The sequence below is a fragment of the Homo sapiens genome, chromosome 15 (assembly GCF_000001405.40).
Source record: "Homo sapiens chromosome 15, GRCh38.p14 Primary Assembly".
NCBI classification, from domain to species: Eukaryota; Metazoa; Chordata; class Mammalia; order Primates; family Hominidae; genus Homo; species Homo sapiens.
In genome coordinates, this window is record NC_000015.10 from 51,237,014 (window position 1) to 51,262,972 (window position 25,959).

Here is a 25,959-nt window from a genome sequence, read left to right on the forward strand (position 1 = left end):
GACAGGTGTCAGAGCATAAGCAACATCTTAGTTACACCAAAAATTGCAACTGTTTTGTGTTACTCCTGTTTTTGTTCTTTTATAGCTAAGTGTTCTTTACATGTGATGTATATCTGTGAATCACGAATAAAGTGATTTGAAACAAAACAAAACAAAACAAAAGCCTCACGCTTAACATGAGGCTCTTCACTTCTCCATGAGTAAAAAGGAGTTCAGTATCCATACCACACTAGTTTTATTTGGTCTCAATCATTTCAGTCTGAATGAACTGGGGTGTGTGTGCTAATTTCTTCCCAGGTTAACTGGTATCAGTGAGTTTCTAATACAAGTCAATTGGTGCATTTGGTAGCAAACATGGAAACACTGATGAGTGACAATCTGGCAGATCTGTTTGGCGCCTAGTTTTTTCTGGAAACTTTTGGTTTGAGTGCCCCGGTTGACACAATGGGTGGGTTAAAACTGGTCTGTAGTTTTGTAGGAAATCTTTCAACTGAAAGAAACAAGATCTACAAGGAGAATGTCCAATCCAAGAACATCTATTTCTTTTGTTACCCTCAAAAAAGACTCCGTTTAAGAAAAGGCTCTTAAGCTAAATCTCATTAGGCAAAATAAAGCTAAGAGATGGGGAGTCAGGCAATGGGTCTTTGAACCTCTAGATTGGAGTTTGAGTCCCATGATCTGGTTTTAGCCGAGAGTAGTGGCTGCTTACAATCTTGCTTATGCAGAGGATGGCAGAATTGTAAAGAACATGCGTCCAGGGAACAACTGGGGAATTTGGTGCTGCTTATATCAGAGAACAACCTTGGTAGCTTGATTTTACTGGTGTTGGTAAAACGTTAGATTAAAAAGTTTTAGAATGTTTTCAGGAGTTGACAAGTAGCAGTTTTTCTAAATCTTTCTCCTTTAATTCCATTCTGTCAGTGAAATCATTCTGAAGCCAAAACATGCCTAACTACGTGAAACAGCATTCTCACCTTACGGGCAAAAGTTGTGTAATAATATACATAGTGTAAGCTTTTGCTTGAATCATCTGAATTGGATGTTTAATCCCAAACACAGCAAACAGTGTTTAGTCTTTTACTTTGTAATAGCTGAGTTAATATGAGCAAGACTGTCAGCTCTTTTTTCCCTTTAAATAAAAGATCTTTGCTAATACCTACAGAACCAAAATATGGTCTAAGGTTATTAATCTTGTGATTATTTTAGTAACACTACATTATACAGTAGATGACTGACTTTGTATTAAAATAATTTCATTAAGCTCTTTAAAAGATTTCCACAGCAGATTTGATTGAATATGTATTTCCTTAAACTGTCATTAGATATATTAACTTTTAATCAATTAATATATGCATAATATAATATCTCACTGGATATTTATAGCTTGGCACATTGTAGATGCTCAACGAATGTTTCCTGAATAAATTTTAAAAATTAATTAGGCATGTGTATCTAATATAAAGGATGAAGTTTTAAATGCCATCCTTTTTTTTGAGACAGAGTCTCGCTCTGTTGCCCAGGCTGTAGTGCAGGGACATGATCTCGGCTCACTGCAGCCTCCACCTCCCGGGTTCAAGCGATTCTTTTGCCTCAGCCTCCCGAGTAGCTGGGATTACAGGCTTGTGCCACCACACCCAGCCCGCCATGTAAAAATCTTAATATTTGGGACCTGCCATTCAAATGTAAGCTGTGACGCAGGAGAGATATATCTACTGAAAAAGGGAGATTGAACCTTGTGCTTAGATTAAGAACCTGAGTGTTCTAACCAGAAGAGAACCAGAGTTTTGAGTCCCTAGCGATCAATTGTATATCAGCTTAATTCATCCAACAAACAATTACTGGTATAGATACTACTGGTATAGACACTAAAATTAGGGACTGGAGATGTTATAAGTATAATGGTCCCCATCAGAGTCTAGGGGCAAGAGAGGAGAGTATGTGAAAAATAATTACTAAATAAAAGAATGTTAACACAGTGTGACCTTTTCATTTACGTGTATATCTTAGGCCTTCTACCCACCCTCCAGCTGGAGAGAAGAATGCTGGAGGAAGGTAGAAACTTTGGCAAAATATTAGGGAAATATTCTGGTTGTAGCCACATTAAGCTGATCGTTGCTTCTCAGATTTGGGAATGCTTATCTAGGCATGCAATGATGGTGGGAGCCTCTTTCACACCCTAAAAGAAGCAGTGAATACTTTGCTGCATTTTTGTACAGAGACAGCCTCCTTGGAGCCAACAGCTGGGACCTCTCCCCAGCTGTCCTAATCAACAAGCTGTTGCTTTCCACGCCTTACAGATGTACACCATAGAGAAACCTGTGTGCACATATACATTCAGAACAGCCCTGTTCACAATAGCCCCAAACTAAAGACACCTCAAGTGTCCCTCAACAGTGGAACTGGCAATTAAACCATGAGATATTTATATAACTCAATACCCTATGGCAATGAAAATGAACTACACCTGCATGCCACGATGTGGATGGATCTTAGAAACATACTATTGAGCAAAAGAAGCAAGATAGAAGAATACATAATGTATGAATTGACTGCTAAAACCTTTAAAACAAGGCAAAATTAACCTGTATTCTCTGGGATGTGAAATTATGTGGTAAAATGATAAAAAAAAAAAGCAAGGGAGTGACTGTCACAAAATCAAAGACAGTGTTTTGCTCTGGAGTGAGAGAGAGAGAGTGATTACAAAGGCACACGAGGAGCTTCTGGAACAAGGGTAACATCCGCTTTGTCAGGCTGCATTGTGATGGCAAATTTGTCACCGCACTGTCCAGTTTTCTGTGAAATATTATCTTAAGAAAAAGAGGAATGTCAGTTGCCATGCTTTTCTCCCCCCTAGTTCCCTGCTCTGGGATGTGGTACCCCGGGCAGAGCATGGCATCTGGAGGGAGAGGACCCTTGTTTAGAGCTGGGGATGGCTATACGTCCTGGGGGAAGGGAGAGCAGCCAGTGCCAGGTGACTGTGAGTCCTGACCCAGATCAGTGGTCTGGGAGCAATTTTTCAGAACTGAAGCTTCCAACCCCGCCCCCCTCCCCCGGCCACTCCCCCTTCTCCGCAGAATGACCCTTTCCTCAGGACTTTCATAGCCCCTACCTGGCACTAAGTCAACCACCTATGTGTGTTTCCTTGACTGTCTTTACTACTTTTATATAATCCCCTCGGGGCAGAAACCACATCTCTTTAATCTTTTCACACATCCTCCTGCCCCTAAGCAGGAAAACAGGGCAGCCTGTTTACTTAGCAGTAAATACGGCTAGAAGAAGCTTAGATATGAGCCCCAGTTTCATCATTACTAGTTGTGTGACTCTTTGAGTCTCAGTTTTGCCAACTACAAAACAGACACAAACACACCAACCTCACCAGAGAAAATGGGCACGAAACTGCTTTGTAAATTATAACTCACTTAAGGGCTTTAAATCATTATAAGTCCCTCCAGCTTTCACTGTTCCTGAGCTTTCCTGACTCTGTGCTTCCCCTAAACCTCTAAAACCAAGAACCTAGAGAGCCACTGATTAAAGGGAGCTGGCAGGAGCTCAGGAGTATTGATCAGCAAAAGCCACCCCAAACAAGGCCAATTTTCTTATCTTCCCTCCCCCAACCAGAAACCATAGGATCTCACAGTCTGTGCTACTAGTGGATTCTAACTAGACCTTCTGTTTTCAAAAGGAAAGTGTGAAACTAGAAACTACCTGTCTAGCAAAATGATCATCAACCTGGGCTTTAGGACTTCCTGGTGGTCCCCCTACATTCCCACTTTCTGTCCAGCTGGGGAGATGACAAGCCATTTCCCTTCACTGGGCTTTAACCATTCACTTGTAAAACGACAAGTTTGAACTCCATGGCTTCTCATGCTTGTCATAGTGTTTTGTCTGGGCAAGGCAGATCAACTCCCTGGGTCTCAGTTTCCCCTTCTGTCAAATGAAGGAGTTAGGCTCATATTTGTGGCTCTCAACCTTGGCTGCTCATAAAAAATCAGGAAGGGAGATTTTTTTAAAAATAGCAACCCCAAACTAGCTGAGCTCCTACCTCAGACAGTGCTGAGAATCACTGTGCTACTTGATCTGACTGTCAGTGGATCAGCATGATGGCCCTGGCCCAGAAATGGTGGACAGAGTGAGGTGCTGCCTACTCTCCCACTGATCCAGAGCTTCAGGGCTGCTGGTTCTCAGGCTTGTCCTAACAGGCTGACCTCCTTGGTCAAGGGTCCAAGGAAATTCCACCAGTGCTGATTAACATAAGCATCTGCGGGGACTTTTTAAAAATGCATGTTTCTAGGCCTGAAGAGTCTGAGTCAAAAAGTCAGGAGCAGGGTCCAGGAACAGAAATGTTAACAAGCTCCTACCTGCTGGGTGTTCTTACATAGACTTAAAAGCTTGAGAACCTGTGGCTCACTGGATGGGCAATGCTGCGTGGGCAATGCTGGACTCTCCTGGCCTGATTGTCTGCTAACACAGACAAATTGGAATTTAGCACCTGAGCCTATGAAGGGAAGAAGAGGAAAAAAAGGCTCTCCACCCCCACCACTTACTCACCCCACCCCGACCATTCACTGACCCTGACCTAGAAGCCCCCTTGGGAGAGGAGAAATCCAGTGAGGAAGGGCCACACTGGGGAACAGAGTTCAAGTTAAAGACCATGAAACAGTTGTCCCTTAGCTCTGAGCCTCCCTTCTCTAGAGTTGACCCTGTCAGGGAGCAGAGAACAAAATTAACTAAATGTTCCTTTAAACTGGGCATTAAAGTAATCTAAAATATCAGGCTGAATCAGGCAGAGAGACAGGCAATTATCTGGAATGTTAAAAAGAATCCAGACACAGAGCATTTTGTGCTAGCCCCATGCTCCCACTTCTGATCCCACTGAGACTAGGCCCACCACACTTACCAGTGTGTAACTATGCTCTTAAAGTCTCATTGGATATCTTATGGAATTGGGAACAGATGTGTCTGCAATGAAGCATTTTCACTGAAACCTAAAGAAGCAGTCTGAAATTTCAAGTCATTCTGAATTAATCTGATATCTGATCATTGCGGCTTTAAGGGTGGAAGGGTGGGGTTTTCTATTGGGATTATCTGAATAATTATATTATTCTCTGCTTTTGATTGAACCACAGATCTTGTTGAAGATTCTCCCGGGGTATGATGTTCCAAGAGCACTGGAGTGGTCCCCATTTTTCTCCCACTACCAGGCTCCCATAAGGGTCGAATGGGATCCAGACAGTGGGAGAAAAATGGGGACCACTATCACCACATTCCCAAGAATAAGAGAAAATGATGAGTGGAATAAAGAGAAGGGATAAATACAAGACAAAGAGGGGGCATGGCGGAAACAAAGTGAAAGGGAGAAGAAAAGCAGTGAAGAAGATGTTCCAGAGACATTTTCACCTTCAGAGCAAAATTGCAATCTATTTTTTAAAAGTTAACCAGAAAACCCTGGAATTTTACTTTACTCCACCCCATCTTGAGCTTGTTTTAAAGGGTACTTGTGCCAAGTCTACTTTACGAAAGCACAGCACAGAGTGGAAGGGTTTATCTAAGATATTTTTTAAGTGCTTTCATTTAAAATGTGCAGATAATTGGTCTGAAAATTTTCTCCCAAGTCCTCATTTGCTAACACAGACATAGTCTTCAGAGATCTTTCCAGGTTTGCTTTTTGTCCTTTTGCAAAATTTTCTTTACCATCATGGACCAAAATCCCAAGTAAATAATCTCCTTAGATACAGAAATAAATGACTGACTTACCTGGTATTGAGGATGTGCCCTCATAATTCCACACCAAGAGAAAAAGGCCAGTGAGGAGCAGGACTGGCATGGTGGCAGCAGGCATGGCTTCAGGCACGATGCTGGTGATGTTATAATGTATCGGGTTCAGCATTTCCAAAACCATCTTGTGTTCCTTGACCTCAGAGGGGGCAATTTAGAGTCCTGTGGAAATCAAAGGGACAGAAAAATTACAGAATCCCCTAAAAGGTTCATCTATAGCTCCTGTTGCTTCAGAGGGTGCTGTACAGTACAGATTCACTTACTGTTTTATAATGTGATCAGACATTTAGGCAAGACTAATTTATGGTTACAAGTCAAAACAAGGAAGCCCAAGAAAGATCTTTTGGCTTGAATTGCAGCATTTCTGACCTTGGTAGAGTCTCAGGTTCCTTTAGACGCTTGGTCTGATAGAACCTTATCATCTTGCCCTTGAGTGGGTAGAGTGACGTGCATTCCCAATTGAAAGCCAAATTTCTTGCCAAATTATAAGAAAATAAAGCTCATTCCAGAGGTGGAGTCATTTTGTGACTTCATCAGCAGGTTTTGTTTAGGCAATCTTCTTCCCTTGAAGCCAAATCAATTTCAAAACAAAAAGGCAATCTCCCAACTCCCCTTTTTGACCAAAATGACTTTTTTGATCAAAATAGTAAGTTTCTACAGTAAGAACACATTTCTTGGGCATCGTTGAGGTCTTCTCAGAGCCTTCCATCAGTTTGTCTATTGAATTCAAAGTGACTCACTCAGGCCATCTCTAGTGACTTCAATGAAGATCTAAAATCTCTTGTACCATGGGCCAGATTAAACAGTATCCCTAGGGACCGGCCAACGGTAGTGTGGAAAAAAAGAATTGCAGAGGAAGAATAAGGGAGAAGAGAATGAAAGGAATGGGGAAGGAGGAAGAAAGAGAGAACAGGCAGAATAGGATGCCACCAGCAATAGGCTCAGGTGCCACTCAGGAACCTCATTCGAAGAGCAGCTAACATCCTGTGCAAGACAATCAATTTACAGTCTGATGTGCTGGTTCTGCTGTGTTTTTCAACATGCCATTGAATCTGTCTTTTCAGCCAGGTTTTGTAATCCCTTTACTCTCAGAACAGAGTTTCAGGGATGGTAGGTAGTCTGTAGCTGAAGAGGTGTAGGTTGAACAAACTTGTATAGTGAGGAAAGAGTGAGTCATCATTAAATGCATTTTCAGTGGCAGATGACATACTCCAAGGTTTGCCTTTACTTAGACAGGGCCTAGAGTTTCTGTGACTTGCAATGGCTCTCAATCAGACTTGTGCTGGGTTTCACCTGTAATAAAATTCTAGATTCACAGCCAGGGCTTCTAACTGGATATTGGGGGCTCTGTGTATTCCTTGAAACACTGCATAAAATATTGTAATCGGCACATTCTAGTGGAGAAAGGCCATAACTTTCATCAGATTCTTAAGGAGTATGTCATTATATTTCTCCTCTGATCTATATGAGATCTTAAAGTCCAAAGACTGATTTCTGTCAACTACAAAATTTTTACAACATAGTTGAATTTATCCAGTTGTTTCATCATTTTATGTTATTCTACCATTTAAATAATCATTAATGCTTGGGTGCAGGGCACTGAAAATGCACTGGAAAGGTCCTTTGAGATTCTCTCCTGAAAGCACATTGTGCTTATGTTGAGCAGTTTTGTGGTTGTTTTTTTTTTAATATATATAAGTCGAAACTAAAAAGTCAGCCTTGTGTCTGTTATCATCTGGTTCCTTTGTTGATGACAAGCTATTTTTAACAGGGTGAGGTTTTAAATTTCTAGAGTGGAATTTGACATCATTCTGAGTAAGTTCTATGTGACTTTCTGACAGTTGGGACCCTTGAAGTTTCGATTTATATTGATGAAACCTGAAACCATTGTTCAAAGCATAAATGAGGAAAGTGGTTGCAACAAAAAGGATGAAGATGTCCCACAGGAAGTGATCCCAGCAAAAAACTTCACATTATAGGAACTTCCAGAGGTATTTCACAACACTGAAAGCAAAGAGATAAGATGTTGCAAGCTGATGCAAATTTATAAAGGACTATGGCAATTCACTGGCATAGAAAAGATGTTCCCTCAGTATCGTAAGTTATGCAAAGAGAAGAAGGCAAGCACTTTTAAAAAACCTGTTAGTAAGTTTATTTTCACAAAGAAAGAAAACACTTAAAATGTTGCATTGTTTCTAATGTTTCAAATTACTGTGTCCTAAAATATTTTACTATTTTTGTTTGTTTGTTCCCCTACACACTTATAACCTATGGTAAGAGTTTCTAATGCTTTGACAACAAATTTTAAAGGTCACAGAACAGTTTTAATTTTTCTCTTGATTTTTAGGATTGCTTTGCACGGTTTTAGCTTGCATGGTCATTTTTACAGCCCCATACTGCCATGAAAAGTGAGGACTGTTTGTGTGTCTAAAATGTTTAACAGAGTTAAGAAGCCTCGTTTCTCATCTTCCTCAAAAGTATGTCATAAAGATCCCCGACAAGAGCATCACTTAAAAATCCAGCAGGGTAAGAATATATTTTATTTTAGTTTATTTTATTTTTATTATTATACTTTAAGTTTTAGGGTACATGTGCACATTGTGCAGGTTAGTTACATACGTATACATGTGCCATGCTGGTGTGCTGCACCCACTAACTCGTCATCTGCATGGGCAAGGACTTCATGTCTAAAACACCAAAAGCAATGGCAACAAAAGACAAAATTGACAAATGGGATCTAATTAAACTAAAGAGCTTCTGCACAGCAAAATAAACTACCATCAGAGTGAACAGGCAACCTACAAAATGGGAGAAAATTTTTGCAACCTACTCATCTGACAAAGGGCTAATATCCAGAATCTACAATGAACTCAAATTTACAAGAAAAAAACAAACAACCCCATCAAAAAGAATATTTTTTAACACCTAGAAAACATGTGCTATGTGTCAGATATTGGTCTAAGCACTTTAGAAATATTAAGCCATTCATCTTCACGACAAGCCTGAGAGCTAAGTCTAATTATCCCCATTTTACAGATGGAGAAACTGAGGCCTGGGGCAGTTAAGCAGCTTGCCCTAGGGCACCCAGCTCATATGTGACAGAGCTGGAATTGGGGCCTAGGTGGTCTGTCTCCAGAGCCCATGCTCTTTATCATGCCATTTTGCTCCCTATTATGGGATTTAGTCCCCACATTCATGGACTTTTCATTCATTTATGTTCACTCCTGGGCTATTTAGAATGATTCCTTTTAAAGGATTAAGCTTTATGGACCTCTGAATGCCACAGCTGGAAAGGTCCTTTGAGATTCTCTCCTGAATGCACATTGGTTTTCCTGTTCAGTGGAACATTCTAATGGGCCACGTGGGTAGGTTAAACAGAAGCCTTCAAATAGTGGTACAGGAATATAGGAAGGTCCTAGAACTTGCACAGAGGTTGTTTACATGTCCCCTCGGCCAGTAATACCCTCCCCTCACCCCCAAACACACATGTACATGCACATGGCCCTCAGGTGCTATGCATTTGCCAGGCCGTCTCAAATGCCTGGGTCTCCACTGCCCTCTCAGGGTCATTTTCTTGGGTCGCACCATTGTTATTTGCAGAGTGGTCTCTGCCTGCTCAGCATCCCACGTTGGCCTGGCACCAAGCAGGGACTCTGGCCACTTGATGCACTAGGCCTGTGTGCCTGTGCTACGTGGAGCCTACTAACAACTTCATTCAACGCCCCACCAACCTCTGCGTAAGAAAACGCGAGTCCTACACCCAAAGTCCTCAGCCTGAGTCAGGGCAAAAACCTCTGGGGACACAGCAGAGCCCAGGTGTCCTGATGACCTGGGGGTCTGAACACATTCAGGGTCCCACAGTGCCACGAAGGACTCCCAGATCCCCTAGTACAGCTATAGCCCTAACCCTAGCCTGCCACAGGGAGGGGAGGCAGGCCCTGGCCTTGTGGAACTTCTGCCTAGCATGACCAGACCCTGCTAAATCCTTTTAGCGTGGGGGCTACTGGCCCAGCAGGGAAACAGACCCAGCCACCCTGGATGTGAGGGCTGGGTGCCAAGCTTGCACTCCCTCTTATTCTCTCCAGCAAACCTGGCCCATCCCTCTTTCACACCCCAGCTCCTGGAGAAATGCATTTTTTTCTCTATCCATTTCCTCATCTCCTGACTTCTGCCTGATCGCACCAAAACCTGTCTCTGAGAGCTGACACGTGACCTTACTACTGCCTGATCTGTACCTCTTCCCTGTCTATGTTTGTTCTTGATCTCATTCTGTGGCGTTGGACCCATTTGGCCATTCCTCCTTCTTGTATCTGTTCTCCAGTGATGGTTGTGGCAGGCTTCTCTCATCGTTTCTATTCCTCTACAGCTGTTCTTATTCCTCCGTCAGCCCCCATGCCCATGAGAGATCATGAGCATCTCTCCAGCCTAAAGCGTTTGCCCTCTCTGCTTTATTCTCCTTTTGAGAACTCATTATTTTCCTCTCTTAAGCTCTTACTTCTGTGAAGGCACCTCCCCCTATTCCCTTCTTGCCTCTGTCTTCTCCATGTCTGAAGCACTGACTGCCTAGTGAACTCCACTATGCAGATATTTCACCATTACTCCATAGTTACGTCTAAAACCCAATCTGTCAACCTCCTCCTGACCTTCTCCCCCTGTCCTTACTTTTTTATTTTTATTTTTATTTATTTATTTATTTATTGAGACAGAGTCTTGCTCTGTTGCCCAGGCTGGCATGCAGTGGTGACACAATTTCAGCTCACTGCAACGTCTTCCTCCCAGGTTCCAGCGATTCTCTTGCCTCAGTTCCCAAGTAGCTAGGATTATAGGTATGCACCACCATGCCCAGTTAATTTTTGTATTTTTAGTAGGGAGGATAGGGTTTCACCATGTTGGTCAGGCTAGTCTGGAACTCCTGACCTCAAGTGATCCGAGTCCTAACCTTCTTATACATCATTACCCCATCATCCAGCTTCAAAATATTGGTGTTTTGTACTTCCCTTTTCCCTTTACTTTCCTACCATATCCCTTCCCATCCCAGCCTAACCATATCCAGTCACAAAGTTCTAGGCATAGTCCCTAATAATGTCGTGTCCCTGTATCTCAAGATACGTCCCTGTATTTTTTTAATCTTCTGGCTTATATGTTAATTTTTATAATGGGCCTTAACCCTACCCTCTGCTCTATTCAAGATCAAAGCATATCTCAGTGGTCAGTTGAAGGCAAATTCCTGGCTTCCTTCTTTGCCAAAAATTACCCTACCTCAAACTCTCTAAGATTAATTGCTCTCAAAAGCCTCTGTTGTGAAAAATCTACTGAGAATTCCTGGTGGACCCTCAATCCTCTCTTGGCAGTCCCAAGCTCTAGTGTCTTCAAGGGCAACACAGGTGACATGAATGTGGAGGGTGGGGAATGGACTGCAGCACAGCCCTCCTCTCAAAGGACCAGGCATGATGCCAAACAAACCATCTCTCCATGAGCCCAGTGGAGACTCCAGCCCATTTGCCGCCATTACTTAGTATCTGAACCAACTGTCACAACCTTCACGGAGCTACACACTGGGAGCTAGTCACTTGTGTTCTTTTTGCAACTACCTTTGTCTAGCCATGCTTTGGTGCCAGGCCATAAGCTACCTCTGAGTGACTTTGTAATGTCAGCCATAGGGAACTCACCATTTTATCTAATGAAAGGATGTTGTCAAAGACAATAGGTAAAATCACTTATTTTTATTATTCTGAGTGGATGTATGTTTGTAAATTTCCTCACACCTCTTACAGAGTAAAATGAGGCATTAATTCATGAAAAGTCAAATTCTTCCCTCTGTTTCCTCTCCTTCTAGAAGGTGAATTCCCAAAGGACAGGGATCTGTGTCTCTCTCTTTCAGAACTGTATTCCGCTTCTAGAACAGTGTCCAGGCCTTCATACGTGCTTGTTACAAACCTGTTGCCTGAGTTTGCACTGTCTCCAGCTTTGTCCGGCTTTTATTCCCCATTGTAAACTCTCCAAGACCCTCCTTCTCAGACCTTCTCTTTCACTCTGTTCTGCACATTGCTGCCAGATTTGCTTTTTGACTCAGCTTACATCACGTCAATCCTCTGCTAAAAACCTTTCTTTGCTTCCAGTTGTCTACAAGACTTTCAAATTCATCTTTTTTTTTTTTTTTTTAGACAGAGTCTTGCTCTGTCACCCAGGCTGGAGTGCTGGAGTGCAGTGATGCGATCTTGACTCACTGCAACCTCCGCCTCCCAGGTTCAAACGATTCTCCTGCCTCGGCCTCCCGAGTAGCTGGGATTACAGGCACCCACTACCACGCCCGTCCAATTTTTGTATTTTTAGTAGAGACAGAGTTATCATCATGTTGGCCAAGCTGGTCTCGAACTCCTGACCTCAGGTGATTCACCTGCCATGGCCTCCCAAAGAGCTGGGATTACAGGTGTGAGCCACCATGTCCGACCCCAAATTCATCTTGACCCAGCCTTATTTCTTGGTTCTCTCCACTCAAAGTCTGACTCCTGCTTTACCACAACATCTTACCTGCTGAGTTCTTCCTCCTCCATGTTTCCCTGCTCATCCAGTTCTGCCCCACTGGTTTCCCAAGACAAGCCTGCTTCTTCTTCTCCTTGCCTGAGCCATCTCTTACCTGGTATAAATACTCCTCCTCTTTTTCTCTCCGACATGGGTCTTGGACTACTACTGCTTTTGACTGCCAAGGCACTATATAAATCAGAGCCTTGGAGGGTTTCATTAAATAAACATTTATTAGGAAGCTTGTCTGAGCAGGGTACTACATTCAGACATTCAGTTTTCTTTCTAGACGCGGGAGGCAGTAAGACAAGCAAACTGAAGGTGCTGCTAGCTAGGACATCTTATGAGAATCACAGTTCTCTAGGAAGACATGTAGAGCTGCCCATGAACTTCTACATCAAGGAGACACAGAGTATCAGGACTGGAAAGAAATGCTGTGATCTTCTAATAATACAGTTCTCTTCCTTTAAAAATGAACCACTTACATGAGATCCAGGGAAGGTCACTTGTCAATAGTTACTTAAAAGCAGGGAAGGTTCACCCAAGTGCACATTCTGTGATATGATTTCCATCCCCTGGCACTGGGGTCATGACACTTGAGGTTCCAGTTATTCTTCCTAGCAAGCTTCCAGTGATTCCCTGGGACATTCTTCTTCTGGAGCAGGAGCAAGACAATAGGAACCAACAGGAAAAATGCAGCTAGATACACATGGTGTGGACTACCTTCAGGGCAAATGCCTTGTCCACCCTATAGTTCCCATCCCTGCTGTGGTCTCTGACTGACCATTTGTGTGGAATGAGCAAAAAGCCCTGAAGGCACCAATGGGAGACCTCAGCCCCTAGGGTTTTACCCACATAGGGAAGACTATTGATGGTGTATGAAAGGTACCTGCTGCTAAAACCCACATTTCACATGTGTGTGAAGACCCAAGGCTCTTGGGCATCCATCAGGCAGGACCGTGGCTTTCTCACTCACCTCTGAGGTTCCGTGACTTCTAGCACAACACCTCCCCAGGAGGTGCTCCATGTGGGTTTGTAGAATCACTCCTTTCTTCACAATGACTTATTGGCTGACTACCAGCAAGCCTGGGACTTGGGAACATTGGCAGTCAAAAGCAATAGTAGTCCAAGAGTGCCCTTATCTCAGCTAGCCTATTTGCCTGTCTGATGGTGCTTCTGGTTCCTCAGATACCTAATCTATTGTCTTCCCAGTGGGCTGCATCTGATAGAGTCTCCCAGAGAAGTTTTTCTGAAACACAGTGAGAAATGACTGTTTTAAAAGACTTCTTGATTATCTAAGGCATTTCAGGCCATGAGACAAAGTGGGGGCACTATTTGGGGAGCCTATTGAATTGGGGTTGATCCCCCAGATCCTATTGCATTGGGGTTGCCTGACACCCAAACCATAGTTTTTCTCACGAGGAGTCTGACCTCGCCTTATGGAGGAGGCAGAAAGGGCCAGTTGGGGATTGTTCCAGGAACAGCAGTCATTTTTCTAAGAGGTTTCCCATGACTTCACTTTTCAATTCAATTTTGTAAGACCTAACAGGTTACCTGGCCCCAGAGTAGATAAGGTAGTGGAATTTTCCAGCCAAAACTGGGCTTTTAACCTGAGGAAGGAAAAGGCAGAAGTGACAACAGCACAGGAGCAGGCTTTAGGGTCAGATGAGCTGAGTACAAGACCCAGAGACCACATCACAAGAACAGGCTTTGGGGCCAGATGAGCTGAGTACGAGTCTCAGAGACCTGTTCACTTCCCAGGCCTGCCACGCCCGGGCTGAGGGGGAGCACTGAAACTGCCTCGGGACACTGAGGTGAGGGCGAAAGGGAAGCCTCCGGAGCCAAGTGCCAGTGGTGGTGTTTGTCGTTCCTCCGGCTTTAAGGTCTCTGTGGCACATGGAGTTGTGGGATTCCTTGCCTCTGGTAGCAAAGACGGAAGGTCCCCAAGTGGATACACAATCCTTAGGGCAGCCCAGGTGCCGCCAGCCAGAGAGGCCCCCTGAACCTCTTTCTGTGGTGAGATCCAGAGCCATGCCTGAGTCTTGGCATCCAAGATTTGTCACACTGCGGTCCCAAGTGGCCTTGCTTCCTTCTGCGCATCTACCTGGATATGATAAGTTCTTGTAACGGCAGAAACAGGGAATGTCTGTCAATATTTCCACAACATAAGTTCCTCCAGAGCAAGGACTCACACCTCGCTTTTCTATCTAGCTCCCGGGGGCTACCACAAGTGCTTCACACCCAGTAAGTGCTCAGTAAATGTTTGTGAAGTGAAGTGAACCAATGGTTAGCCTCTTAAGCCTTTTAGGCCTGGGGTCATCAAAGAATGATACATTCACATATCCTCAGAGGGATGTTTGCCTTCTGCACATCTTAGCAGTGATTCCAAATGCCAAGTCCCAGCAACTCAGTGGCCCATAGCTACCACCCAAACAGTCAGATAGCAGCAGCACTGCTGGCCTTTCCTTGAGAGCTTATCTGTTGTTTAATGAACAGACTGTGAGGCCATAGAGATGTCCTAGAGCAGGGACACTCTGGCAAGGAAGCTCCTAGCTGACCCCAGAGTGCTGGGGCCACCTAGCCTCTCTGGACGTCCATTTCCTTATCTATAAAATGAGGGGGTTGAGCCACAGGGCCCCTCTTATCTCTGTATCTCTGTGTCTGCTGCCCAGCATTCTTACCCTTTGTCTTAGCTGCCCCTCCCCAGCCCTTCCCTGTGCCTTTGCCCTGCCGCCTTCCTTGGTTCTTTTCTTCCACGTTGTCTTAGGCCAGCCAGTGGTGCCTGTAGGCCCAGGTATGCAGAGATACACTGAGACGTCAGGGAGGCTGGGGTGCATGTGGCCCACTTTGGCCAACTTCTCTAGCTCTTCTCATTTCTTTTAGAGTCCCAGACCCATTCTAAGGATCCAGTGAACGTGGTGGAATCTTGCTCTGGAGAAACACACTCGGGAATCAACATGCAAAGTTTCAGTACAATTCTGGGATCCCAGACCCCCTAAAGCCCAATCCAAAGACCTCAAATGAACAACTCCTGGGCCCAGTTCCTTTCTCAACCTTCTGCCTCAGGTGTCCAATGTCCCAGAGGCTCTTTCCTGATTAAAACCACCTTCACTGACTGATAGAAAGTTGTTTCCAGGTTATAAGAGAATACAATTTCTCTTGAAGATTTTTCATTTTAACTAGACCCCAAATTACAGTTGATAATGGGGTGTTACATTTTTCGGTCCACAGAATCAGTGAGAAACGTTTAAGGGGAAAGTGAGGGGCAAAATTGGTACCCTGATATCCCATCTGTGGGCCCTCAGACTGACAGACTCACACTGTGGCCCTGAAGAGGGCATCAAGGCTCATGGAATCTCCAGGTTTCTGCCAAGGAGGGTTCCAGTGCATGGAGGGCACACGGAGTGTGCGCCTGTGGAGGCCACTGTCTTCACCTCCAACACTGAGTAAATCTACAATATCCTAGCCACTAGCCACTGTTTTAGGCTCTAGGCTGTAGGAATATGGGGAAATGAGGTTGTTGCTCTTACGGAGTTAATCTGGGGAAGACAGATTGCACAAGTGTTCAGAGGCATAAACAGCTATGAAAAGAGAGGAGAAAGTGACTACCCTAGGAAGGTCACCTATGGCTTTATGAGTAGGTCTTGAAAGAAAAGCATTACTCTGCAAGATACCAAGCTGAGGAAGGGCATTGCAGGTAGAGAGAATGAGAAACTAATTGGCTGGGGAAACTCAAAGCTGCTTCTGCATTCCTCCCCACACCATTCACATTCCTGTGTCCAGGGGGACCCTCTATCACTATGTCCACTGCTAGATCTCTACCTTAGTTTCCTCATTAGAAAAAAATGGGGGAAATAGTGGTATTTCTTGATGTGGTTACTAGGAGGAAGAAACGAGATAAAGCCTGTTAGGGCCTTATCAGGTGTCTAGCATATAGCAAAACCTCAATAAACTTATTATGATTCAGTCTCCAGCAAGAGCAGAAATAATAATGGACAGTCCCTGGGGTAGCTGGAAGGAACAGTTTGGACTGGAGTTGTGCCCTCAGGGGTCCCTAAAGAGCTATATGCCTTTGAAAAGGTTACTATATCTGTCTTGAGAACATGGAGCAGGTTGGGGAGTGGGGTAGTCGTGTAGCTCCCAATACATCCCTCTTGTCACAGCTATATTAGGGGATCATGTGAGAGCCACGAGGTCACTGAACACACTTGTTGGGATTCTCAACATTTGCCTCCAGTGCCCCTTCCCACCCACACTTCCTTTTATGTGTCATTTCCCCACATTTTCTATCCACCTACTATCCTCTGCCCAGTCAGAGGATATTACCTCATCAAAATAATTCATATCCAGGGGCTAATCCTTCAACTTGTTCTCCCTCCTGGGATATTTTCATTGTAACATGTACCTGGAGAAGTTCCTAATTATCATTAAGCAAATGTTTGGCACACTCTCAGCTCTAGGGAAGCCTGCAGTCTACTATTGGGAGAGAAAACTAAGAAGCTTGGTACTGTTGACAAGTACAAAGAGATATTAGCATACAGACGAAAGGAGGCTTCACGTGAATGATGGGACTTGTTCTGGGCCTTGAAATGTGGTTGAGATTTTGATGGCAAGTAGAGGAGAGGTATTTGCAATGCTGGAGGTAGGAGTGCATAAAGCAGTTGGGGGATAACAAAAATGAAGAGGCTAGATTTGTGTTAGGAAGCAATAATATCTATTGTGGAAATATAAGTAGAAAGGCAGTTGATGAGGGACAATACAGGAGAGGCAGTGCTCTCTTAGTCGACCCCAGTTTCTAATTTGTTCATTACCTCCCATTCAGTGATACGAGGAAAGTAAAGGAGGTTTTGAGAAAAACAGAGCAAACTCAACTAGCTAAACTGCCTGTGGGTGCTGATAGCAGAGGCCAGGCATCTTCAGAAGTCTATTATCAGCCTTGCAAATAATTTTAAAATTTTTCATCTAATTTAACTTACGTCTCATAGTCGACAAGAACTAGGTTTGATTATCCATCTTTTCTACCACACTTGGTTGCAAATGACCTTTGACTGCTTCCCAAATTAAGTCTATCTTCAGTGATTGATTGAAGGATTGGCCCCAGTGAGATATCTGTATGTGACTTTTTACTTCTGAGACTTCAAGCAGTCTTCAGTTCTTCCTTAATATTTGACTGTGGCCCCACCCCCCTCCATTTTTGCCATTTTTGCTTCTTAGAATACCAATTAGACAAACATTCAGTCTCATGGATCCATCCTTCATATTTCTTGCCTGGTTTCTCATATTTTTCATCTCTTTTCTCTTTGTGCTACATTCTGGGATAATTCCTTGATTGACTCTCTCAATCCAGTTTGTCATCTGTTTGTCCTTTCGGGTCGTCCATTCACATTTTTATTTCAAAAACTAAAATATTAATGTCCACTATCTGTTTATGTTTTTATGGATGCAATATCTGTTTGTGTCTCTGATGCTAACAATTCAATATATACTTGAATATATTGAATGTTTTGAATGATCAGTAAGTCTCCTCAGGTATAAACTCTGTTTACAACTTGCGGTTTCCTTTCAAGGTGTTGGCATTCCTCAAATGCACAGTGATTACTTAATATGTGCTCATTTGTGGCTGAAATTTCCTGTTAGTTGGCTAACAGGAAAAATGAGATGAGATGGATCGAAGGGAGCTGTGGGGTCCTATGGGAGGATGTAACAGAAAACCCTCCAGAACCTCAAACAGGGTCATGGGCTCCCTTAAGCTGAGTCTTAAGGGTGAGTGAGTGTTTGCCAGGAGAAGAAATGGCCAAGGAGTGACTTATTCCAGGGAGAGAGAACAGTGTGTTCAAAGGCCCTGATGGTGAGGGAGGCAATGTTCTTACCCAAAGTAGGAAATCTCCCTCTTTCCAAATTATGTAGGCATTATTCAGTAATTGGGGGCAAACGCTATTTGTTCTAAGGGTCTCTGGAACAGCTGATCAGTAAATTCCCACATGGTTTCTACCCAACAGGGTATGGGGAGTTGAAGGGAGGGTAGCCCCAGTGCAGGTGGGCTTGCCCTAATTGATGTGTTCACCATTTCTCATTAAAGTCATTTATGACATGGGAAACAGAGAACGGTCCCTTGTCTCTACAAAAACCCAGTTAAAGTAATTAAAAGGAATCTTTACTCAACAGAATATTTGAAAGCAGATTACATTTTCAGTTTGTTATGCTTACAAGTGGCTGAGGAGGGGAGGCTCTCTGATGTTCCACTCTTCAGAACTGGGATCAGCACCACTGTTGAAAGTCAGGAAGCCCTTAACTGCTGGAATGGAAACTGTCCATGATGCCCAAGTTCAGTGGAGACAAAATCCATGGCTTGCTTGATATTAATCCCAAGTTCCACATGAAAGCTGTTATCAGCGGTCCTGAGAAATCAGCAGGTGGGGCAGGCGGGGAACTCAGGGAGCTTTTCCACATGCTAGGATATGATTTAAGTAATGAGATTACTTCTGAACAAGCACCCTGGAGGTGACAAGCTTTTTAAGGATGGATAAATAATGTGTTTGCTAAAGAGCTCTCTTTTCACACTCTTGACAGTACTATAGGAAGCAGTCATTTTCTCACACTGTGGGAACTATCCTGAAAATGATGGCCCCAGAAGTGACAAAGTTGCCCAAACAGTTCAGCTGAATTCAGAGTATCATTGCCCAATTTTATGGGAGCCCTAGCTTTGCTCACATAGAACCAGACATTTATTTAAAGGTAATGTTTTCCACCAACAAATGCTTAATGGGCAAGGCAGAGTATCTTTATCACCACAGCAGAATCAAAAGTGCACATTCCTGGAAGAAGCGTGTCTGTACAGCTTATTAATAAACAGCATTGGCTCTAGAGAGCCTGCTCTTCAACACCACCCCCTCTACCTAACCTTGGGAATATCTGAAATGGAAAAAATAAGGACAAATTCTTCAGCAGGCTTAGCTGTACAATCTTTAGGTCTTATGGAAACTATACAAGATTCCTTTTACAAAGAAACTCAAACCAGGTTTAACAGCCTATATTTAAGAAGCTTCCATTTCTGCGGAAATCTGAGGGCAGCCAATGGTTATTCAGCCCACTGCTATGACCTGAGAATTGGGGAATTGGTGGATGTATGACAGGAAGATATACACCCTGACACCTACCCCATGAGTGTAGCAGGGGAGAGGTGGGAGTGGGGGTCCTGCACAAGTCATTCTGGGGTCACCGCTAAACATTCTGATCCGCAAAGGCCAATAAAATGCTGTTAAAATGGCAAGTGGCAAATACCAAATATACCATTTAATAGACCTGTAACCTTGGCTGGGCAAGTGACTTAACCTCCCTAAGCCTCACATTCTATAACCGGGTAATGGAAGTAGCACCTGCCTCCCAAGGTTGCTGCAAGGATTTTAGAGCTCATTTCCATAAAACACCTAACACAAAGGCAAACACATGTTTGCTCCTCAGTAAGTGATAGCTAATGTTAATGGCAGAATCATATCCTTCAAAAACAAAGCGATCATACCCTTCAAAAAACAAAGCGATCAGGAAGAAGAAAAATATCCCACTGAGATCTATGCTTTGAAGAAAGAGGTGTAGTCAGATGATGGGTGGGCAGTGGGTAAGGAATCATGGGCAAGTCTGCCTAAGACTGTCCCAATTTATGCCTGTTGTCCTGGCACCATTATTAATTGCACCCCCTCCAATCTTAAGTGTCTCCTTTTGGATAATAAATTGTATGGTCACCTAATTACATGTGAGTGGCAAGGGTGCTTTAGGCAGCAGCCTCCCCCTTTCTCTCTGCCTGCAGCATCAATACTGCCCTCGTTGCTGCTGGTAAGAATGAGCACAGCTACCTTTTATTGAGTGCCAAACTTCACCTTATTATATCTAAACCTCACAATCAGACCCATGAAGTAGATTCTATTCTCATATCCACTTTACAGATGTGGCTTGGCAATATTAGGTAACTTGCCCAAGAGTTCATATTCCACCAAGTAACCAAGTGTAAACCTTGTGGTCATGGCCCCAATTCGCTACACTTCTGGGTTGGAAGTAATAGCAGGCCTAGGTAGGCCCTCCAGGCTGGGGCAGGACGCAGGAAGGTGAAGGGTAGTGATTCGGTAAGGACAAGAAGAGCCATTCTGGGATTTTCCCTTAGCAATCAAACTGGTCTCCCACAACCTCGAGGGCCCAGACCACAAACAGCCCTAGGAAGGGTGAAGCTCACAGGACTGTGGGCTCTTGGGTTGGCAGCCAAGAGGAGCTTTGCCTCCATGTCATGGCGTAAGGAATCCAAACAGGCCTTGGCTTCCTGGACATTGTGCTCCAGCGCCTGAGCCCAGGTCTCCAGGATCAATCCCACACAGCGCTGCTTCCATTGCAATGCTTTCCTCCAAATGTTATTTCAAAGTGCTGAGCCACTTAAAAACAGCAACAACACATGAAGGTCAAGTTTTTTTTTTCCCCTAACTTTTCAAGGTGGCCTGTGGAACATAATAACTTTTAATTTTTGGATCCTAGTGCTACTTGCAGATCACAATGGGCATTTTGTGTGTGCAAATGTGTACATACTGGTAAATGTACATGCATGCATATACTTCTATGCATGTATTATCACAATAATAGCTAACACTTATTAAGTGCTTACTCTGTGCTAGGCACTATTCTAAGCACCTTTTAGCCAATAGTCTTATTTAATCCTCATATTGACTCTGTGAGTTAGCTGTTACCAATGAAGTCCAGAATAGAAGCAACTTGCTCAAGGTCATCCAGGGATTGAGTGGTAAAACAGGACTCAGAACTAGGCTCTGTCCCTTTGACTGCCTCTTGCTTTCTTTTCTCCCCTCTCCTTTGTGCTGGGCAGATAACATTATATTTATACCCTACCTACTTGCAAAGGACCGGAGGCAGTAGGTAAGACTCTGGGATGCTGCCAGTGGCTGTAACCATTTTCTCTCCTTTTAGTTTGGGTTGCACACTTCCAAATCACAGTTCCTAGCCCACAGCACTTGTTGTTCTCTCCAGCCTGCCGACACCTCTCCTACCATTGCTCTCCTTCATTGTATATGACTACATTTGGCATTTGGTATATATCCTTGGTGACATTTCTAGCATATCTTTATTCCAACAAAGCCCAAGTGCTTGTTTAATTTTAATGCATGAGACTTGACTCTCCTATAAACTATCCTGTATGTGCCTCAGCCTCGTTCCAGCAGGACTCCTACTAGCCAATGCTGCACATTTATGTGTTCTAGAAGAGCCTCTGCCTTCAGGAGGATCCACTTTGGAAAAGGCCCTCCTTCAGCAGAGCTTGGACTGGAGTCCAGGCCCCTGCTCCACATTCCTTCCCCCATCTATTCCCTCCCATCTCCAACCCCTGCGCCAGTCTCTGGAAGAACTAACAGAGGTGTACGATATGTACCTATTGCCTGAAATTCTAAGGTAAGGTCTGTTGAAATTATTACAAAGATTTACAAAAATGAAGGAGTCTTTTAGAGAAGACTTTTCTTTTTAACATGTAAATCTGATTTATTTAATTTGAAGAGTTTAAATCCAAAAAAATGGGGAGCCAGCAATACCCAAGGAACCAAAGTTGACCAAAGTGAATGCCACTAATGACACATTCGACAAAAGCTTGAGAAAGTGGGAAAGTCTTAGGAAGCTGGAGGTTCAGTGTTGCCCCCATCCCTCCACCATCATTGACAAACTGTGGCAGTTTAGGCAAATCAGGAAATCTCTCTCCCAGTCCCAGAATGAGCATGTGTAAAATGAGACTAATGATCCTTGCCCTCCCGCCATTCAGGATATGATACGTCATTACAGGAGACAACAAGTAGGAAAGCACTGAGAGAATTGTGAAGTACTGGGTAGAGTTGGGACTTACTGTGATTATTATCACCAAGGACATCTGTCTAGTAATCATCAAAGCCCAAAATATTTTTTTTCCTTGAAAAATAATGGTGTATCCGTTACACACAGTGATCAGTTCCTGGCATACACTACATTTATAAATAATTGTAACAACCACATTATTCTGTCTATATGCAAGAAAACATGGTATAATGAAAGAACCCAGAGAGAAACCAGATTGTTTTCAATTCTCCAGTTTCAAGGGGGATTTGGGGGAGTGAATCGGACACTGCACCTAGCTTCCTTTGGCTCAAGTCAACCAGCTCTTTTGCCAAGGAAGACTTTGTAAGCTTTTCTTGTTGAGTTGCCATAGGTTGGATGAGGTGGCTAAGGAAGGGTCAGGGGAAGGGAGGGTGAAGATGGCATAGTCTTATCAGGGCTGAAGAAACCAGGCATGGTAAGACAGTTCTCTAAATGCAAACGGTAAACCTTGGAGCTAGCCTTCCTCAACATCTTTAACAATGAGTCCAAAGAAGGTGCTAGGGCTGCACCAGACTGATATTCTTCAGAGGTAGAGAGAAATGCTAGACAGATGGGGAGAAGCCACAGAAAGCCAGTATGAGTGGGCAGAGAAAAGACAAAGATAGGTGACACATTTTGTGAAAAAATTGCCCCAAATTACATTTATGATTCATCCATTTACCAGCTTTCCTAGAACCCTGAACACCAAAAAAGTGCAATGCATGGTGTTAGGATTCCAGTATTGGGGAGAGAAGGACAGGTAAGAAGAACACTAAATGAATATTGTTTTTGCCTTTAATGATACATCTAGAGAGAAAGACATGAACACAGATAAAAACAGCAAAGCTTTATGTGATAAAATGCCGCAGGAAAGGCATATGCCAATTATCAAAGTAGACCAGTGAAGGGCAACAGGAATCAGCAACTGTCTCCCAGTGAGGCAATCTTTCTTGTCTGGTGGAATCACTAGGATTTTGCTGAAACTAGATGGTGGCATGCTCTAGGTGATGATATACGACACAGATTCAGATGTATTTTGAGTGTTTTCCCAGAAATACTGGTCCTAAAGGGCTGCTGAAGCCTTAGTGATGTTGGGAAATTTTTGGAAAAGCATTAAATGTGAAGTCAGGGGAAAGCATTAAATATAAGAAAGCCTATAGAAGCTAACCCACAGCATATCTGAGGTAAACCATGCTATCATATGCATCCATTGTGACTAAAAACGTCTGGTTCCTTTTAAAAGGCTAAAGCAGGCCCACACAGATAGCTTGGAAAGAGGTTAATTGGAACCAGCTGAGACGGACTGAGATTACCACGGGTTTTCGGGATATTGAGTCATTTAGAAGTCAGAGGTGGTGTCTCAGGCTATCCCAAAGTTAAGAGATTGTTTACTTCAAAATCAAAGGAAGTGAGAGACAGAACTAGATGGATTTCCTAGGCCGACTAAGAATTCCTAAGCCTAGCTGGGGAAGGTGACCGCACCTACCTTTAAACACAGGGCTTGTAACTCAGCTCACACCCGGCCAATCAGGTAGTAAAGAGGGCTCACTAAAATACAAATTGGGCTAAAAGCAGGAGGTAAAGAAATAGTCAAATCATATATTGCCTGAGAGCACAGAGGGAGGGACAATGATCAGGCTATAAACCCCAGGCATTCGAGCCAGGTGTGGGCAACCCTGTTTGGGTCCTCTCTCCTTGTATGGGAGCCCTGTTTTCACTCTATTAAATCTTGCAACTGCACACTCTTCTGGTCCGTGTTTGTTCTGGCTCGAGCTGAGCTTTCATTCACAGTCCACCACTGCTGAATGCCACCATCACAGACCCACCATTGACTCCCACCTCTCCGGATCCAGCAGGGTGTCCACTGACCTTCTGATCCAGCGAGGTGCCCATCGCCACTCCCGATCGGGCTAGAGGCTCGCCATTGTTCCTGCATGGCTAAGTGCTCAGGTTCAGCCTAATCGAGCTGAACACTAGTTGCTGGGTTCCACGGTTCTCTTCCATGACCCACGGCTTCTAATAGAGCTATAACACTCACCGCATGGCCCAAGGTTCCATTCCTTGGAATCTGTGAGGCCAAGAACCCCAGGTCAGACAACAAAAGGCTTGCCACCATCTTGGGAGTGGCCCACGACCATCTTGGGAGTGGCCAACCACCATCTTGGGAGCTCTAAGAACAAAGACCCACCCGTAACAGAAGGAGCAGGCCAATGTCATCCAAGACCTTGCAGTTCTATAATCTTATCAGAGAAATGAGTAATGGGTATTATTAACACGACCTACCAAAACTTCATAAAAAAGCAAAAAGAGGAAGATAATGCTTTTGGTCAGTTAATACTAACTGCAAGTCAAGGAAATAAAGAAAGCAAGTGTGTTTCTTCAAATGTATGGGTTTTTTAGCCATTTCATTACAGATGGCACAATGCCTTGATATAGCTAACTGCATAAGCACTCGTGTTGCATACAACTGGAAATAAAACTGACCACTTGACAAGTGCTGTGGGGGTAAAGAGAACAGAAAGAGTTACTTTCGCAGGGTAGTCAAGGAGAGTTTCAGAGAGGTCATGGTGGAGGAATAGAATTCCAAGGAGAGAAGTGTGGGGCAGGTCCTCCCAGGGAGTAAGAATAGCATGCAAGTGAGGGCCCATTGGAGAGGCCGATGGGTGAAGCAGTAGAGTCTTCAGGTTCTGGGCCACTTCTCACTGCCCACCATCTCTCCCCCAATCAATTGTTATTTCATCTCTGAAAGTCCCTCCTTTCCCCTTTCCTCTCTGTTGGGAACAGGCCCCCAAATCTGGCCATAAACTGGCCCCAAAACTGGCCATAAACAAAATCTCTGCAGCATTGTGACATGTTGGTCATGGCCATAATGCCCATGCTGAAGGTTGTGGGTTTACTGAAATGAGGGCAAGGAACACCTGGCCCACCCAGGGCAGAAAACCACTTAAAGGCGTTCCTAAGCCACAAACAATAGCATGAGCGATCTGTGCCTTAAGGACATGTTCCTGCTGCAGATAACTAGCCAGAGCCCATCCCTTTGTTTCTGTAAGGAATACTTTTAGTAAATCTATATTCTATAGAAACAATACTTATCACTGGCTTGCTGTCAATAAATATGTGGGTAAATCTCTGTTCAGGGCTCTCAGCTCTGAAGGCTGTGAGACCCCTGATTTCCCACTCCACATGCTATATTTCTGTGTGTGTGTCTTTAATTCCTCTAGCGCACTGGGTTAGGGTCTCCCCAGCTGAGGTGGTCTCAGCACTCTCTATTCTCAAGGCCATCCATGAGCTTTCATCAGCCCTCTCTTGAAACAGAATCACAACAAATAACCCTGCCCCTATTCTCTCCTCCTACCAATTTTTCTTCCTTACTGCTGACAGTTAGTCTTCCAAAATCTATAGAGTTTGCCATGTCATGCCTGGACTCACAGACTTGAGGCCTCCTCACTCCCCCAGTGCTAGGGTTATTGATATACGATTTCCCCATTTCTGGCAAAAGAAACTACTTGACTTCCTGTTCTGCAATAAAGAAAATATAGTTGCACACTTAAATTTGGAGAAAAGGCTGCAGTGACATGTCCTAGCTCTTAGAAAATTTCATGATACTTGCTTTGGCCTTTGGCAGACAGAGCATGAACCCATTGGGTAGGAATTGACATTGAAGCTGACTCAACGGATTATGGAAGTGGTGAATAAAAAAAAGACAATGCTTGCACTCCTGGAGCCTATAGTCTAGGAGGGGAGACAAGCAAAATATAGATAATCACCCAAATAAGTACTTAATTTCAGTTCTGT

At 43.8% G+C, this 25,959-nt stretch overlaps 1 protein-coding gene, 1 long non-coding RNA gene and 1 other non-coding gene across 13 annotated transcripts in view, besides 29 other annotated features; 2 read left to right on the forward strand and 1 right to left on the reverse strand.

The window, feature by feature from the left end:
* Positions 1 to 25,959, forward strand: part of MIR4713HG (MIR4713 host gene) — a 256,425-nt gene that overhangs the window by 199,526 nt on the left and 30,940 nt on the right. The gene's annotated exons all lie outside the window — the stretch shown is intronic.
* CYP19A1 (cytochrome P450 family 19 subfamily A member 1) overlaps positions 1 to 25,959 on the reverse strand; it is a 130,540-nt gene that overhangs the window by 28,957 nt on the left and 75,624 nt on the right. For 7 of the 11 annotated variants that reach the window (NM_000103.4, NM_031226.3, NM_001347248.1 and 4 more), the window contains one exon: positions 5,755 to 5,937. In NM_000103.4, the coding sequence (NP_000094.2) occupies positions 5,755 to 5,899 (145 nt within the window). In that variant the 5' untranslated portion in view covers positions 5,900 to 5,937. Of the gene's footprint in view, positions 1 to 5,754; positions 6,017 to 6,038; positions 6,233 to 6,735; positions 6,903 to 18,504; positions 18,777 to 25,959 lie in introns of those variants that run through there. The other 4 variants (NM_001347253.2, NM_001347254.2, NM_001347255.2 and 1 more) reach the window with 4 other exon arrangements.
* Positions 5,177 to 5,251, forward strand: MIR4713 (microRNA 4713). The gene has a single exon (NR_039863.1). It is a non-coding gene; the product is annotated as a microRNA 4713 (primary transcript).
* Positions 5,855 to 6,112: a promoter, noted in NCBI's record as "259 nt promoter". NCBI's record gives the evidence for it as "EXISTENCE:reporter gene assay evidence [ECO:0000049][PMID:1331779]".
* Positions 5,855 to 7,037: a biological region, named in NCBI's record as "CYP19A1 promoter II/1.3". NCBI's record gives its function as "regulatory_interactions: CYP19A1".
* Positions 5,915 to 6,892: a promoter, noted in NCBI's record as "B promoter fragment; -867+103". NCBI's record gives the evidence for it as "EXISTENCE:reporter gene assay evidence [ECO:0000049][PMID:16322405]".
* Positions 6,033 to 6,294: a promoter, noted in NCBI's record as "-278 pII promoter". NCBI's record gives its function as "cyclic AMP responsive promoter; drives expression in ovary" and the evidence as "EXISTENCE:reporter gene assay evidence [ECO:0000049][PMID:7768959]" and "EXISTENCE:transgenic organism evidence [ECO:0001131][PMID:10830289]".
* Positions 6,076 to 6,112: a protein binding site, noted in NCBI's record as "FOXL2 conserved site". NCBI's record gives its function as "positive regulation of promoter activity" and the evidence as "EXISTENCE:protein binding evidence [ECO:0000024][PMID:21188138]".
* Positions 6,113 to 6,274: a silencer, noted in NCBI's record as "162 nt silencer fragment". NCBI's record gives the evidence for it as "EXISTENCE:reporter gene assay evidence [ECO:0000049][PMID:1331779]".
* Positions 6,119 to 6,150: a protein binding site, noted in NCBI's record as "S1 site". NCBI's record gives its function as "negatively regulates promoter activity" and the evidence as "EXISTENCE:protein binding evidence [ECO:0000024][PMID:11973645]".
* Positions 6,120 to 6,149: a silencer, noted in NCBI's record as "S1 element". NCBI's record gives the evidence for it as "EXISTENCE:reporter gene assay evidence [ECO:0000049][PMID:9606955]".
* Positions 6,135 to 6,150: a protein binding site, noted in NCBI's record as "hexameric element". NCBI's record gives its function as "positive regulation of promoter activity" and the evidence as "EXISTENCE:protein binding evidence [ECO:0000024][PMID:7768959, PMID:9865725, PMID:9973254]".
* Positions 6,135 to 6,155: a protein binding site, noted in NCBI's record as "nuclear receptor 1/2 site". NCBI's record gives its function as "negative regulation of promoter activity" and the evidence as "EXISTENCE:protein binding evidence [ECO:0000024][PMID:9973254]".
* Positions 6,135 to 6,155: a protein binding site, noted in NCBI's record as "nuclear receptor 1/2 site". NCBI's record gives its function as "positive regulation of promoter activity in breast adipose" and the evidence as "EXISTENCE:protein binding evidence [ECO:0000024][PMID:11927588]".
* Positions 6,136 to 6,147: a protein binding site, noted in NCBI's record as "5' half of S1 site; nuclease protected region". NCBI's record gives the evidence for it as "EXISTENCE:nuclease protection assay evidence [ECO:0001106][PMID:9865725]".
* Positions 6,177 to 6,204: a silencer, noted in NCBI's record as "S2-1 element". NCBI's record gives the evidence for it as "EXISTENCE:reporter gene assay evidence [ECO:0000049][PMID:11016753]".
* Positions 6,208 to 6,230: a protein binding site, noted in NCBI's record as "p450arom pII(-214/-192); CRE2 or CLS". NCBI's record gives the evidence for it as "EXISTENCE:protein binding evidence [ECO:0000024][PMID:11994385]".
* Positions 6,208 to 6,230: a protein binding site, noted in NCBI's record as "p450arom pII(-214/-192); CRE2 or CLS". NCBI's record gives the evidence for it as "EXISTENCE:protein binding evidence [ECO:0000024][PMID:11994385]".
* Positions 6,211 to 6,236: a protein binding site, noted in NCBI's record as "CRE(-211/-199)". NCBI's record gives its function as "mediates induction of promoter by prostaglandin; modulated by binding of Jun and Jund" and the evidence as "EXISTENCE:protein binding evidence [ECO:0000024][PMID:21393445]".
* Positions 6,211 to 6,236: a protein binding site, noted in NCBI's record as "CLS (CRE-like sequence)". NCBI's record gives its function as "negative regulation of promoter activity" and the evidence as "EXISTENCE:protein binding evidence [ECO:0000024][PMID:15688015]".
* Positions 6,214 to 6,233: a protein binding site, noted in NCBI's record as "CLS (CRE-like sequence)". NCBI's record gives the evidence for it as "EXISTENCE:protein binding evidence [ECO:0000024][PMID:9426158]".
* Positions 6,238 to 6,267: a promoter, noted in NCBI's record as "exon 1.3 promoter; B1 sequence". NCBI's record gives the evidence for it as "EXISTENCE:reporter gene assay evidence [ECO:0000049][PMID:8662988]".
* Positions 6,240 to 6,270: a protein binding site, noted in NCBI's record as "-245 to -231". NCBI's record gives its function as "mediates induction of promoter by cyclic AMP" and the evidence as "EXISTENCE:protein binding evidence [ECO:0000024][PMID:18182446]".
* Positions 6,265 to 6,286: a transcriptional cis regulatory region, noted in NCBI's record as "distal NRHS (nuclear receptor half site)". NCBI's record gives its function as "important for induction of promoter by cyclic AMP" and the evidence as "EXISTENCE:site-directed mutagenesis evidence [ECO:0005528][PMID:14580722]".
* Positions 6,282 to 6,302: a protein binding site, noted in NCBI's record as "C1 site". NCBI's record gives its function as "positive regulation of promoter activity" and the evidence as "EXISTENCE:protein binding evidence [ECO:0000024][PMID:19022561]".
* Positions 6,292 to 6,318: a protein binding site, noted in NCBI's record as "CREaro". NCBI's record gives its function as "negative regulation of promoter activity" and the evidence as "EXISTENCE:protein binding evidence [ECO:0000024][PMID:11245431]".
* Positions 6,292 to 6,318: a protein binding site, noted in NCBI's record as "CREaro". NCBI's record gives its function as "mediates induction by cyclic AMP" and the evidence as "EXISTENCE:protein binding evidence [ECO:0000024][PMID:10545204]".
* Positions 6,319 to 6,338: a protein binding site, noted in NCBI's record as "p450arom PII(-322/-303)". NCBI's record gives its function as "mediates induction by cyclic AMP" and the evidence as "EXISTENCE:protein binding evidence [ECO:0000024][PMID:11280806]".
* Positions 6,348 to 6,367: a protein binding site, noted in NCBI's record as "site 2; includes -350/-337 element in PMID:18182446". NCBI's record gives its function as "mediates induction by cyclic AMP" and the evidence as "EXISTENCE:protein binding evidence [ECO:0000024][PMID:18519709]".
* Positions 6,498 to 6,524: a protein binding site, noted in NCBI's record as "AP-1(-498/-492)". NCBI's record gives its function as "mediates activation of promoter by prostaglandin" and the evidence as "EXISTENCE:protein binding evidence [ECO:0000024][PMID:21393445]".
* Positions 6,881 to 7,037: a promoter, noted in NCBI's record as "promoter I.6; contains SNP (rs1045959) which affects activity". NCBI's record gives the evidence for it as "EXISTENCE:reporter gene assay evidence [ECO:0000049][PMID:21319151]".
* Positions 6,945 to 6,951: a transcriptional cis regulatory region, noted in NCBI's record as "-935 AP-1 site". NCBI's record gives its function as "mediates induction by leptin" and the evidence as "EXISTENCE:site-directed mutagenesis evidence [ECO:0005528][PMID:12734209]".